The following is a 14,234-nucleotide window of genomic DNA, read 5'->3' as shown; positions in this document are numbered from 1 at the left end:
AGCCTGGGCAACATGGTGAAACCCTGTCTCTACTAAAATACAAAAAATTAGCCAGGTGTGGTGGCATGCGCCTGTAGTCCCAGCTACTCGGGAGTCTGAGGCTGGAGAATCGCTTGAACCCAGGAGGTGGAAGTTGCAGTGAGCCAAGATCATGCCACTGCACTCCAGCCTGGGTGACAGAGCAAGAGTCTGTCTCAAAAAAAAAAAAAAGAAAAAAAAGAAAAAAAATTTGGTAGTCTTCCCCAAAAATTTAATACTCATGTGAAATACATTCCAAACAAATGACTTCTACAGTGCAGCCCTATAAATTGGAGATTGCTTGTTTTTATATTCCTTTTGCCAAAGTTACTAAAATTACTGGTCTAACAGAAATGAAAAATAATATATTCTTTTGACTCAACAGCATGGCAGCATCTTCACATCCAGAGCTTGATTTTAGAGTCAATATGACTTCATTGGGCATTTTCTAGACCCAGAGAACGAGTTGGCAAATCATCCTATCTGGTAATGTTAATGGAAAAAAATCCACTTTTAGCTTTATAATTAAAGCAACCCTGTATAGTTTAATTATCGATGTGAATTGCAGCACAGGTGAAATATTGATCAAACCTGCTAATGTTACAAAACTGAGAGAAAGAGCAAATCTGTTAGATAACACACACTAACATTTTGATCTTCCACCTCCTCAAGCTCCATCATCCAAAATGGGAGCAATTTGGAGGATCATGTGGTATACAGAATGGAGGAAAAACCTGGAATGTTTAGCCTAGAAGAGAAAAGACTTGTTAGTGGTGAAGAGGAGGAAAGTCTTTAAGTAGAAATGATTACTTCTGATTTGGTCCATGATGGCTCTGGTGAACATATCTAAGACTAATGGTGGTAGATTTTCTCCAATATAAAAAAGAATAACAGAATTCTTCAAAAATGAGATAGTAAGCTCTTTTTACCCTATGTATTCAAAAGATGAATATCATGAATCAGGTATAGGAGATTCTTACACTGGGTGTGAGGTTAAAGTACACGATATCCAAGTCTCTAAAACTCTGTAAGTCCACGGAAATTATAATAACTACTGCCTCTTTCTTCTCCAAGCAATATGATATCCTCAAAATTGGATGCCAATGAGAAAATGCAAGTTGATGCTAAGACCCCAGTTGGTTTTACAATTGTGCAATCAAGTTTTAAGTGTTCTTGATGGAACCAGCCAACCTGAGACAGCCCATTTCCTTAGTCATGGAGATGTACTTTTGGAAGGAAAAATCTGTAGTAGGCATAAATCAGTCCAAGCCAGTGGCTTTCCAAGAGGGTATGATTACAAAAGAGACAAAAATTATTATAGCCCAGAAGAGGAAAAGAAAGCAGAACTCATTATCCTTATAAAATATGTCCTTTGATTCTTCCTTCTACTCTATTGCACACACTGTTTCTTAGGCTATCTAGTTGTCAGTGAGGTCAAGATAATGTTGTGTATCACTCATTTTCTTTATATTGGCTTTAGAGAGACAGCCAAGATTAGCCATTCCAGTTTCTTTTTATAATAACTACTCCTTAAGAAATTCAAGTTTCTCGATGTTGGAAATCATTTAAAATTCTCTAGTATGCAGCAGTAGCTTCTGCTTGATCTTTATAAGTAATAATTTCAAGATATTGCAGTGTGATTACATAAGAGGTCATAATGGAAGTCTGTTTTTCTCCTTTGTAACACCCACCAAACATGTAATTATTTGATCATTGCTGGCTGTCTGTCTAAAATGCAAATTCCATGAAAGTGTGGGCAACTTATCTGTTCTGTTCAGCATTCGATTTCCAGCACCTACCACAGTGTTAGCACTCAAACAATATTGATCTGAACAAAGAAATCTAACATATGAATGATTGCCTGCCCCAATACTCTTATTTCCCACATAACACACACACTGTGACTTTTCTCAGGCAGTTTCTTAAAAGAATAGAAGCAACCAATATTTTTTCCCTCAAATTTCAGAAAGAAATTTTTTTTGTCCTTTTGTCTTGGATCAAGGCAAGGATTCTATTTCTTCCTTTTAAATTACTTCATTAATCCTTGTTATTAACTATATCAAATGGGCACTGGGTGGTTCATAATGATGTAATGGCATTCCAGCTCTCACTGTTGTACAATGAGAATGCTTCCAAGTCCCAAATGAGAGAATGAGCTTCCCAAGTAGGTAAATACCATCTCATGAGACAGTTCAGACAAACAGTCTCATCCAAAAAATTAAGTAAATATGAACAATCTCCTATCTCTTAAGTATCTTCCGATGCCTTTTCAGGCGACAGCTACCTGGGGATTGGGAAGTAGGCAGATTAGACACTAACCTGCCCTGTCCTGTAATTTTGCCAGAAGTCAGACATAACCTAGTTTCAACACCCAGGATAATCTTACAATAGAACTATATTTGTCTGTATATTATTTACTTATTTCATAACTATCTCCGTATTTCATTTGATCTTTGTGAATACCGTGAGGTTGTTAACATAAGTATTAATTATTATTGTTACTCCCATCTATTTTATATATGCAAGAACTCCAGGGTTTAAATGATCATTTTAGGGTAAAAGAGCTAGTTGGAGGCAAAGCTGGGTCTCTTCCTCTCTATGTGGCAAAGCAGTGTGATGTGGCAACTACAGGAATAAAACCCATTTAATCCCAAATCCATTTTTCATCTATGTGACCTTAGAAAAATCCTTTACATTTTGTAAGCTTTAGTTCCCTTAATTGCTTGTTTTTTAAAAATAGGAGCTAAAGAGGTAAAGAGAGATAGGGAGGGGTGAATGTTACTATTTGTCCGTGTTTAGCTCACAGAATTATCCCGAGGTGGGGATGATAAAGGTTAAAGTGCTTTGTAATGTACAATATAACTGTGATATGGTATTATTCTTTTTATTACCAACACAGATGAAAAGCATGGAGCTTTGGAATCAGAGACACCTTCTTCCAGTTTCCTTTCTAGTTGCTTGACGTTGGTTGAGTTCTTCAACTTCTTTAAGCCTCCAGTTCCTCTTCTGTAAAATGGGAGCAATAAAATCTGCCTCTTAGGGCTGATATGCTGAATAAGTGAGATTAAGTAGAGAAAACAGAAGTCACTAAATGGATAGTAATGGTGGTAGTGGTGGTGGTGGTAGTAGTAGTAGTAATAATAACAGCAATAATAATGTGTCTTCTTTACTGTTGAAGAAACTGACATTCAGTAGCTTAATGATTTCATATTAGGTTTCCTAGAGAATAGAGCAGCAAGAGACTTCATACAGCACTCCTAAGTCTTGTATTTTCTCTGGGAGAAACAGATTTGGAGTGGAAGCTAGATGAGAAGAAATTTTTGTTTCCTCTGCATCCCACCATCCGCACCCACCTCAGTCCACGGGCTCAATTTCTTTAAAATTTAAGGAGGAACTAGTACAAAAGAGAGTCCCCCCTCCCCCACTACTATAGGAATTCCAAGTAATCTTAGGCAAGAGAATAAATTCGTAGTGGTGCCACTGCTTAAAGCCCAGATTTTCCTGATTGCTCGAACAGTGCTTCTTGCCAGTTGAGGACCAGATCTCAATGTGCGGGAGTTCTTCGTCCACTTAGTAACTAGACTCCCTGTACACTGAGATGAAACCAGTGTGTCTCTTTGTGCTCCCTCTGCTGGTTAGCTGAAAGCTTAATCTGACAGAGCAAAGTGATTCAGAAAATTTTGCAATAAACCAGTCATCGTCACTTACTAGATCATAGACGAAAGTTTTAAAAAAATGAATACGAATCATGGAAACTGTGGCATCATATCAGATAATAGCTCATTTAAAGGTAATCCAAATCTGGGAGGAAAGAGGGAGGATGTAGAAGCAAAGGGCATCTAGATGTTCCAACAAGCTGCTAGGTTTGTGCTGGGACTCTGGAATGTAATTGAAAGCTTGACAGGAGTAAGAATGATTGATCCGGTTACGGCTCATGCATTCATTTAAGATGATCACTTCAACAAAACACTCTGCAGTTGCGATTTTGTAAAATGTATTATAATTATAAGGGAACAACATCTGTTTTGGAGACACGAGGTAGAAAAATTCTATCACAATCATGCAGGGTCAACAAAAAACTGACATTTAAAAATATTTTCATAAAAGACTTACAAAAACAGATACAGTTCACCCTTGACAATGGAGGGGTTTAGGAGTGTCGACAATGGCATAATCAAAAATTTGCACATAACTTTTGACTACCCCAAAACTTAACTACCAATAGCCTACTGTTTTTTTCTTTTGTAGCAAGAAGGTGTGTTTGCTACCCTTTATTCTTTTTTTTTTTTTTAACTTTTATTTTAAGTTCAGGGGTACAAGTGCAGGTTTGTTACACAGGTAAACTTGTGTCATGGGAGTTTGTTGTACAGATTATTTCATCACCCAGGTATGAAGCCTAGTACCCATTAGTCGTTTTTCCTAATCCTCTCCCTCCTCCCATCCCCCAGCCTCTAAAATGCCCCAATGTGTACTGTTCCCTCTATGCACCCATGTGTTCTCATAATTTAACTCCCACTTATAAGTGAGAATATATGGGATTTGATTTTCTGTTCCTGTGTTGGTTTGCTGAGGATAATGACCTCCAGCTCCATCCATGTCCCTGCAAAGAACATGATCTCATTCTTTTTTATGGCTGCATAGTATTCCATAGTGTATATGTACCACATTTTCCTAATCCAGTCTATCACTGATGGACATTTAGGTTGACTCCATGTCTTTGCTATTCTGAATAGTGCTGAAATAAACATACACATGTGTCTTTATAATAGAATTATTTATATTCCTGTGGGTATATATCCAGTAATGGGATTGCTGGGTTGAATGGTATTTCTGTCTTTAGGTCTTTGAGGAATCACCACGTTGTCTTCCACAATGGCTGCATTAATTTACACTCCCAACAGGGTAAAAGCATTTCTTTTAACTTTTAATAGCCATTCTGACTGGCATGAGATGGTACCTCATTGTGGTTTTGATTTGCATTTCTCCAATAATCAGTGATATGGCACCTTTTTTCATGTGATTTTTGGCCACATGTATGTCTTCGTGTCCTTTGCCCACCTTTTAATGGGGTTATTTATTTTTTCTTTGTAAATTTAAGTCCATTATATATGCTGGATATTAGATCTTTGTCAGATGCATAGTTTGCGAATTTTTTCTCCCATTCTGTAGGTTGCCTGTTTACTCTGTTGATAGTGTTTTTTATACTCTCAACAAAGTAAATTGAAGCACATTAGTTTAATTAGATTCTATTTGTCAATTTTCTCTTTTGTTGCAATTGCTTTTGGCATGTTTGTCATGAAATCTTTGCCCGTGCCTACGTCCTGAATGGTACTGGCTAGGTTGTCTTCCAAGGTTTTTACAGTTTTGGGTTTTACATTTAAGTCTTTAATCCATCTTGAGTTAATTTTTGTATATGGTGTAAGGAGAGGGTTCAGTTTCAATCTTCTGCATATGGCTAGCCAGATATCTCAGCACCATTTATTGAACAGGGAATCCTTTCTTCATTGCTTGCTTTTGCTTGGTTTGTCAAAGATCAAATAGTTGTATGTGTGTGGTCTTATTTCTAGGTTCTTTATTCTGTTCCATTGGTCTATGTGTTGGTTCTTGTACGAGTATCAGGCTGTTTTGGTTACTGTAACCCTGTAGTATAGTTTGAAGTTGGGTAGCGTGATGCTTCCAGCTTTGTTCTTTTTGCTTAGGATTGCCTTGGCTATTTGGTCTCTTCTATGGTTTCATATAAATTTTTAAATAGTTTTTTTTTTCACTAGTTCTGTGAAGAATGTCAAAGGTAGTTTAATGGGAATAGCATTGAATCTATAAGTGGCTTTTTAAAATGATTACTAATAGCCTACTGCTGACTAGAGACCTTACTGATAACATAAACAGTCAGTGAAGACTTTTTTTGCATATATATTGCAAACTGTACTTTTACAATAAAGTAAGCTAGAAAAAAAAAGAAAACGTTATTAAGAAAATCATAAGGAAGAGAAACTATATTTACTATTCATTAAGTGGAAGTGACTCATCATAAAGGTCCCCATCCTTGTTATCTTCATGTTGAAGAAGGAGGAAAAGGAAGAGGAGGGGTTGGTCTTGCTGTCTCACTGTGTCAGAGATGGAAGAGATGGAGGATGTGCAAGGGGATGCAGAAGAGGCAGCATACTCAGTGTTACTTTTATTGAAAAAAAATCCTCATATAAGTGGACCTGTGAAGTTCAAACTTGTGTTGCTCAAGGGTCAACTGTATAGAAATGGTAGAACATCGCTTAACCTTTTTTTTTTTAATCCTGTTTTTGTCTACATGGGAAAAGAGAAATGAAAAAATTAAGATTGATATGTAGATCATTCAGACTCAGAAGGGCCTAAAATATCCAGGTATTTGAGGCAGATGTTAAGTCCCTTAATTATAGACCAGTTCTCTGCAAAGTGGGGTGGCCATGATGATCCATTGGTGTGCAGAAAGAAAACACATTAACATTTATTTTTCTTTATCTCATATTTTTGCCCTTACATTATTTTTGTTTTATAAACATGTATTTGATATGACGATTAGTAGAGTAGTATAGTATAGAATTTATAAATAAATGTATATATTAGGAGTACCTGTTCAAAAACTTTACTGATAGGAGTATATAATGAATTAAATCTGGAGATCACTAATCTAGATCTCTGGTTCAATACTAAACATTACTGGGCAGAGTAGGCATATACTCATAGTTAAATATTATTATTTTCCCTAGTATCAATCTGTGAAAAAATATTTAGTGACTATGGATTGTGTGTCCAGAGCTATGCTAAGTACAGACAGGATTACAAGAAATGTCTAAGCCCCAGGTATTGTGTGACACAATCTCTCTACCGTCCAGAGGAGTCCATTCCATTGTTGAACAGCTGTGATCTTTAGAACAGTTCTTCTTACTGAATCCAAATCTGATATGTGATAATCAAATTTGGGAGTACAATTTTTTTGGTCTAAGTTTTGCCTACTGGGACAACACTGGATCTCCTTCAAATAACTGAAGACAGCTCAAATCTATATTTTATTTTTCTCTTCCCCAGAGCCCTACTTGAGCTCTTTTAACTCGTTTTGGTATAGCATGGGGTACTGTCTATCCTATTAGATGGAGTCACCTGAATTTACTCTAGTTTATCAATTCCTCTTAAAATGTGATTCGACCCACAAGGAACGCAGTGAGACTATCATTTCTCTTGGTTCCCATCATTTCCCATGATTCTATGCTAGTATTAATAAGTTAATATTTTTAGAAGCTTCATCGGTCTCTTTCCTGTTTTTATAGTTAACTGCAGCTCCCAGATGTTTTTACCATGACCTCTGGACTAGGACTTTACAATCCAATAATTGTGCAATTTATTATTTAGAGTCAAATGTAGGGTTTATATTTATCTTAGTTAGGTTATCATCTTGCAATTCTGTTTTGCAGCACAGTCTGCTGAGATTATTTTTTAATCTTGCTGCATTCAGCAAGCATTTGTTAAGCACTCATTAAATGCTAATCCTTGTTTTGGGTTTGGGGGGGTCATATGAAAAATAAGTTGACGTCTGTCCTCTTGAGTATCTCACATTCCAGTTGGGAAACTGGACATAAACCTCTCCATCATGCAACACAGTAAGATCTACAACAGTAGTATGTGTAAAGTGCAATGAAAATGGAAAGAAGAAGGAGACTTAAATAGTCACTCACTAGCTTATTTTTTTTTTTTTTTTTTTTGAGATAGAGTCTCTCTGTCGCCAGTCTCTCTGTGCAGTGGCATGATCTCGACTCACTGCAACCTCTGCCTCCTGGGTTCAAGGGATTCTCCTGACTCAGCCTCCCAAGTAGCTAGGACTACTGGCATGTGCCACCATGCCCAGCTAATTTTTGTATTTTTAGTAGAGACAGGGTTTCACCATGTTGGCCAGGATGGTTTTGATCTCTTGACCTCGTGATCTGCCCGCCTCGGCCTCCCAAAGTGCTGGGATTACAGGCGTGAGCCACCACGCCCAGCCCATTTTTATATTGATTTAGAATTTATGATTAGCTTGCATATCTTTTTTTTAAATTATCAAAACAATTCTGGTAAATAAATGGGGCTAGTAAATAGTCCCCAGTTTATAGGAGAACCAGAGACTTAGAGCATTTAAGTGATCCAGCAAATGAAAAGCACCTTTTATCCTTTTAAAGTAAACCAGAACAAAGTGATTCTATCTTTCTGGTCCCACACTTATTTTCCAAGATTCTCCAGAAATTTCACCTAGTGCCCTCAGATATGTATGACCGAATCACTTTAGCATCAAGAGACAATCCCTCCAGGCTTGTCGGTGTGAATTCATTTAAGGCAACTTTGCCACTGCTAGGTCAGCAGGTTTTGGTCTGCAGGACACCTTTCCAAGTTTGAAGTCTATGAGCAGAACTTCCCTAGGCCCTTCTATTATCACTTGTTGTTATCTGGTAACTTTACAATGTCTTTTGGCAGTCAGCTTAGCCATCAACTCTTTCTTTCCTCTTGACTGGGATTTAAAATGTCTCCTTCAATGTTGAATTTTATCTCCAATTCCCAGACTTTTTTCCTCTCTCTTCTCCAATATCTGACAATAAAATTTGGAAAGAATGGTTGCGTTAATAATAAAATGAAGCAAAATTCTGGGACATGTCACCATTAATTGCTTTCAAATTTTGCCCTTCACAAAAATTTGTCTCTCTATTTCCTCTTTTAAAACAAACCTGAGTTATTGAACATCTGGGCTGGAATTTCTGCTGAAGAAAAATATTCAGAGGCTCTTGAAGGGTGTCCAAGTTTTCAAGGCTTTTTTTTAAGTAGGTAAAACCACTTGTCTGAAAGAAAGAATTCTTCCCCCTACTTAGGTGTTTTTTGTCATGTGCACTGGTAAACAACTTGCATTTAGGGTACGAGTTATATCTGAGGACAAAGAGTCATGGATTCTTTTGCACTATCTTGAGTAATTTAATTAGAAGAGTTTATAGTTCTTTTAATGTAGAATCATAACATCATATGAGAAAACATTGAAATCTGATGATTTTTAAAAGTCACATATGGATTTGCACATAATTCTTAAGAGAGAAAAATCAGAACTTATTCAAGCTGTACTTTAATCATTCTCTTCATGAATGTCACTGTTAACTTGCACAAAACATTTAAAAATTATCTGTTTCAGCCAGGCGCAGTGGCTCATGCCTGTAATCTCAGCATTTTGTGAGGCCGAGGTGGGTGGATCACCTGAGGTCAGGAGTTCGAGACCAGCCTGGCCAACATGGTGAAACCCCGTCTCTACTAACGATATAAAAATTAGCCAGGAGTGGTGGTGGGCACCTGTAATCCCAGCTACTGGGAAGGCTGAGGCAGGAGAATCGCTTGAACCCAGGAGGCGGAGGTTGCGGTAAGCCGAGACTGTGCCATTGCGCTCCAGCCTGGGCAACAAGAGCGAAACTCCGTGTAAAAAAAAAAAATTCTGTTTCAGCCTGTCTCTTAAAGAAAGCCATCACCAGTTTTGTGTTTCCAACATCAATGGATTTCAAAAACCAAAATAGGAACAATCTCAAGTAACAGGGTTAAGTAACAGGTGTAGGTTCAAAGCTTTTTTTATTGGACATATCTTATTTGCATCCTCTTCCACTCTGGACTCAACCGAGGAACCTTCCCGCAGGGCATGGAATCTGGCTTTCCAAAGAGCCATCAAAGGGGCCAGATGACAGAACTGGAAGTGCAGGGGAGTAACTTTGATCGGTGGGAAAAAAGATATGAGACGATATGGGGACAGTAAGTTGCTTATTATGAGCTGCCCCAAGGCATAGGTCCATACAGCCTGGCCACAGATACCTTGCTTGGATGTACAGACCACTTGCCACATTCCCTGCTGGGTTTCCAGGTTCGCTGGGAAGCAGTAGTCACTGCATTGTCCCTTAGCCCTTCCTGCCTTTTCTTTCTCCTTACTCTCACATCAGCAAGTAATCTCTGCCTCACACTCTGTTTTCCAGGGAACTCTGGCTAAAAATATCTATTAACCAGTACGTTAAATGTTCATTTCAATCCAGTATAGCTTTTGTGAACCTACTATATGAAAGGTGCTATATTGGATATTATAAGGAATTAAAGCTGAATAAAATTTAATCCTTGACTTTTGGCACTAATGGTCCGGAAGAGAAGCTAAAACAATTGCATAGGCAGCATAGCTCTGGAAAACAATTCAGGAGAGTTGGGTTCTAGGTCTGGCTCCGTTGGTCGCTGGCTGATATTTAATCTTGAGCAAGACATTTACTCTTTCTGGGTCTCAGTTCCCTTAGCTGTAAAATACAGGGTTGTCTTAGGTAACCTCTAAAGTGTCTTCCACAACTAAAATCCAAACCTCTAAAGTGTCTTCCACAACTAAAATCCGATGATTTTATAAATTTAGTCGAATAGAAGTGAGACTAAAATGCAATCCACACGCTGTGGGAACCCAGGACTTAAGGATTTGGGAAGGCTTTGGGAAGAATAAGGCATTTGATCTGAGACTTGAAGGATTTGTAGGATTTTGATAGGCAGGGAACAGATGGGAATTTCAAGCAGAAAGAAAAGCATAAACAAAGAAGTGCAAAAGGAAGATTGCAATGTGCATTCAGGAGAGCTGTGAATAGTTCAGTTTGGTTGTGGCAAGGCGTAAATTAAGTTATCTAAATTAAAGAGGTTGGTAAATCAGAAATGGAAGATGTCGACTGCCATGTTAAAAATTTGAGCTTTAACGGATATTCATTGACCCAACATATCCATGGAACACCTACTATGAGAGAATGAGTGAGGTGCCGAGAACATAGAAATAAAGAAAATATAGTTGCTGCCCTGAAGAATCCTCAAGGGGCTTATGAGCAGTGGGCAGGGAAGTGGTAACCACAAGTGAAGCTAGTGTAAAAAATGCTGTAACAAACGAAACTGAAGTGGAGGGAAAAGAAGTGTGGGTCATTTCAAGGTGCAATTAACATAAAAGAGGCAGAGGAAGAGTCAATGATAACAGAAGTAAGGACAATGGGGAAAAGAGAAGCATAAGTAGTTTTGTTAACAGAAAGGTAAGTTCATTTTGGGTGCTGAATTTGAGGTGCTCCCAGACAACTAGACAGAAATGTCTAACTGGTAGAAAAAATACTGGTGTGTGGCTAGCTTGAGATGTTGGCGCAAGTGATATGAGTATATTCTGTGAGTGACTCATAGGTCTGGAGAGATGTGTCAAGAAAGAAAATATAGACAGAAAAGAAGATCAAGGGGAGTAGTTTGGGGGAATGCCCACATTAAACAGTCAGAAAAAGTAGGAGGTGTGGACCAAGAAGACAGAATCAAACTATCAGAGATGTTCGACAATCAGCATAAAGGATGTTGAAGGATGAAAGAATTTCAAGGAAGATGAGAGGGGTGAATTAAATCAGAGGCTCCTCAAGCTTAGTGGACCAAATGCATCCAAATCAGTTGAGACATGTCTTTAGAATATGGAATTTGTGCCTACATGGATCCTTAAGAAACTGTTAACAAGGATTGCCTTAGGAGAGGAAATGTAAGGAAACTAAGGGGAAGTGATATGGTTTGGATCTGTGTCCCTGTCCAAATCTCAGGTCAAATTGTAATCCTCAATGTTGGAGGTGGGGCCTGGTGGGAGGTGATTAGATCATGGTGGGTAGATCTCCCCTGCCGTGCTGTTCTCATGATAGTGAGTGAGCTCTCATGAGATCTGGTCATTTAAAAGTGTGTGGCACTTCCCCACCCCCTTCCTCCACACCTACTTCCCCTTCACCTTCTGCCATAATTGTAAGTTTCCTGAGGCTTCCCCAGAAGCCAAGTAGATGCCAGCATCATGCTTCCTGTACAGGTTGCATAACTCTGTGCCAAATACACCTCTTTTCTTTATCAATTACCCAGTCTCAGGTATTTCTCTATAGCTTGTAAGAACACTTATACAGGAAGGGTGGATTTAAGTATTGTTTAAATTTTTACCCAATGCATGATTTACCTAACTGAATAAATACATTTAAATTAAAGTTCAAATGGGAGTTGGGATTTTAATGATGACAATAGGTCAAAAGAGACCTCTACTTCAGACCTAAAAGGTGAGAATTTTCAGGAAGGGGGCCCAGGAAACAGTATTTTTAAGTTGTCCTGGCAATTTTAATCTGTTGTCAAATTTGAAGACTCCTAGAGTAGATAATTTCTAATAGAATTTCAAGTTCTTAGAATAAAGTGTTGGGGCGAAGTAGGAAAGGGAAGGGCAATATTTTCATATACAGAGATCATCCAGAAGACTTGAGAGGGCCTTGTATCAATGGGATGGCAAGTTTTGGTAGAAGGCTGGAGGCAGCAGAAGTCAGTCTGAAAGGAATGAGGAATAAATAGATGATGAAGAAACAGCGGCAGTGAAGAATATAGGAAAGAAAGGAAGATACTAGTATCTGAGGCATAGCAACATCAAGCAACAAGGTTAGCATTGACGATGTAAGCTAATTGAGGAGCTAGTCTGCCAGCTACCAGAAGGGGGCAATAGAGAGCTTTCAGAGCTGCGTGACCTGATGGAGAAATCCCAGGTGAATTGAGCTGTCAATTAAAAGCATGGGATGCAATAAAAATGTTTTGTTTTTTAATTTTTTAAAAAGTGTGGGATGCAGCATAAGACTTGAATCAAGCCTAAAACATAATTAATGCTTAAAACATAATTAATGTAAGAAAATTGAACTAGCGTTGAAGTATAGAAACAAGCAAAGGATTCAGGGAGTCACCGGGAAGTAATCAAATCAGCCATGAGTCATAAGTGCAGACATCAGGAAAGAGCCAGAGTGCTTTAGCAAATTGCCTCATGGGGGACCAATATTCCTGTGGAACTGGCATCTGGGAAGCACCAGGATTGCTTTGGCTGGCTTTTAAAAGAGCTTATAAATGCAGGAATGGTAAACTGTGTAATATTTGACAGAAGGAGATACAGAATACAATCCTTAGATCCAGGAAACTAGGGAAGGTATTACTGTTTCCTTTTTTTCTTTGTTTTTAAGGATACAGGAGGCTTGAGATAATTTACATACAGAGAAGAACAAACTTAAGAAAAAGGAAGGGTCGATAGTGCATGAATGTTGGGAAAAACAGGCCAATTGAATTTTCTTAAAAGATACTGAAAATTCTCAAGTACTTTCTGAAGCAACTGTGTTCAGCAATAATAATCTTGTTTCTGCAATGTGGTGGACTTTGTGCAAGACACTGTGGAATAACGAATCAGAAGGACATGCTTTACCATTTTCTCAGAACTTATAATCTTGAAGATGATACAGACAAATTAATATATAATTAAAATAGTGTGATAGAATGATAGAATGAGGCCGGGAGCAGTGGCTCACGCCTGTAATCCCAGCACTTTGGGACGCCAAGGCGGGCAGATCACCTGAGGTCAAGCGTTTGAGACCAGCCTGGCCAACACGATGAAACCCCATCTCTACTAAAAATACAAAAATTAGCAGGAAGTGGTGGTGGGCGCCTGTAATCTCAGCTACTTGGAAGGCTGAGACAGGAGAATCGCCTGGACCCAGGAGGGAGAGGTTACAGTGAGCCGAGACTGCGCCATTACACTCCAGCCTAGGCAACAAGAGCGAAACTCTGTCTCAAAAAACAAACAAACAAAAAACAAACAAAAAAAAGAATGACAGAATGAGGAAATATACAGTGAGTTAGCTACGTATAATAGCTAATTTTGAGATTTGAGAAAAGTTAGAGAAAGCCTCCTGGAGAAACTGATGTCTAATTTTATTGTAAAGTTAATAGTGTAGGATCTATCTCTATCTCTATCTATCTCTCTCTATCTGTATTTTTTACCAGCTCTCTTCAATACCCAATATAGTCCCCAAGACAATAAATATCTGGGCAATGAATAATCTAGGAACTGAAAGATGAAGACTTCCTGGAAGTCTACATAATCCCCAAACCTTCCCACTATGACCACTGATAAATGTTAGATAAAACATAACAATTATTTCAAATGAATACCTGAACTCTCTAGAAATCCAGGAACTCCCCAGATATTATGAAAGAACTGAAAACAGAGTAACAAGCTCTGTGAATGCTCAAGAAGTAGAAAGATGATCATGGGGAAGGAATCGCCAGCCTCAGGATGCTGAGAGTTTGGATTTTAATGCTGACACGAGGTAAGAAGAGATGTCAGCACATGTGACAGGAAGAGTTGGAATTAAGATATTGCT

General features: G+C 38.3%; 1 protein-coding gene across 3 annotated transcripts in view, besides 1 other annotated feature; it reads right to left on the bottom strand.

Annotated features, from left to right (window-relative positions):
- The window catches only part of TSHR (thyroid stimulating hormone receptor), a 190,686-nt gene that overhangs the window by 146,161 nt on the left and 30,291 nt on the right, over nucleotides 1–14,234 (bottom strand). The window lies entirely within an intron of this gene.
- Nucleotides 3,555–3,614: a silencer, noted in NCBI's record as "silent region_5983". NCBI's record gives its function as "represses an Ori minimal core promoter by ATAC-STARR-seq in GM12878 lymphoblastoid cells {active_cell/tissue: GM12878}" and the evidence as "EXISTENCE:reporter gene assay evidence [ECO:0000049][PMID:35858748]".

Source organism: Homo sapiens, chromosome 14 (assembly GCF_000001405.40).
Source record: "Homo sapiens chromosome 14, GRCh38.p14 Primary Assembly".
NCBI classification, from domain to species: Eukaryota; Metazoa; Chordata; class Mammalia; order Primates; family Hominidae; genus Homo; species Homo sapiens.
The sequence above is the reverse complement of the archived record's forward strand: the minus strand, read 5'-3'. Positions and strand labels throughout refer to the sequence as shown.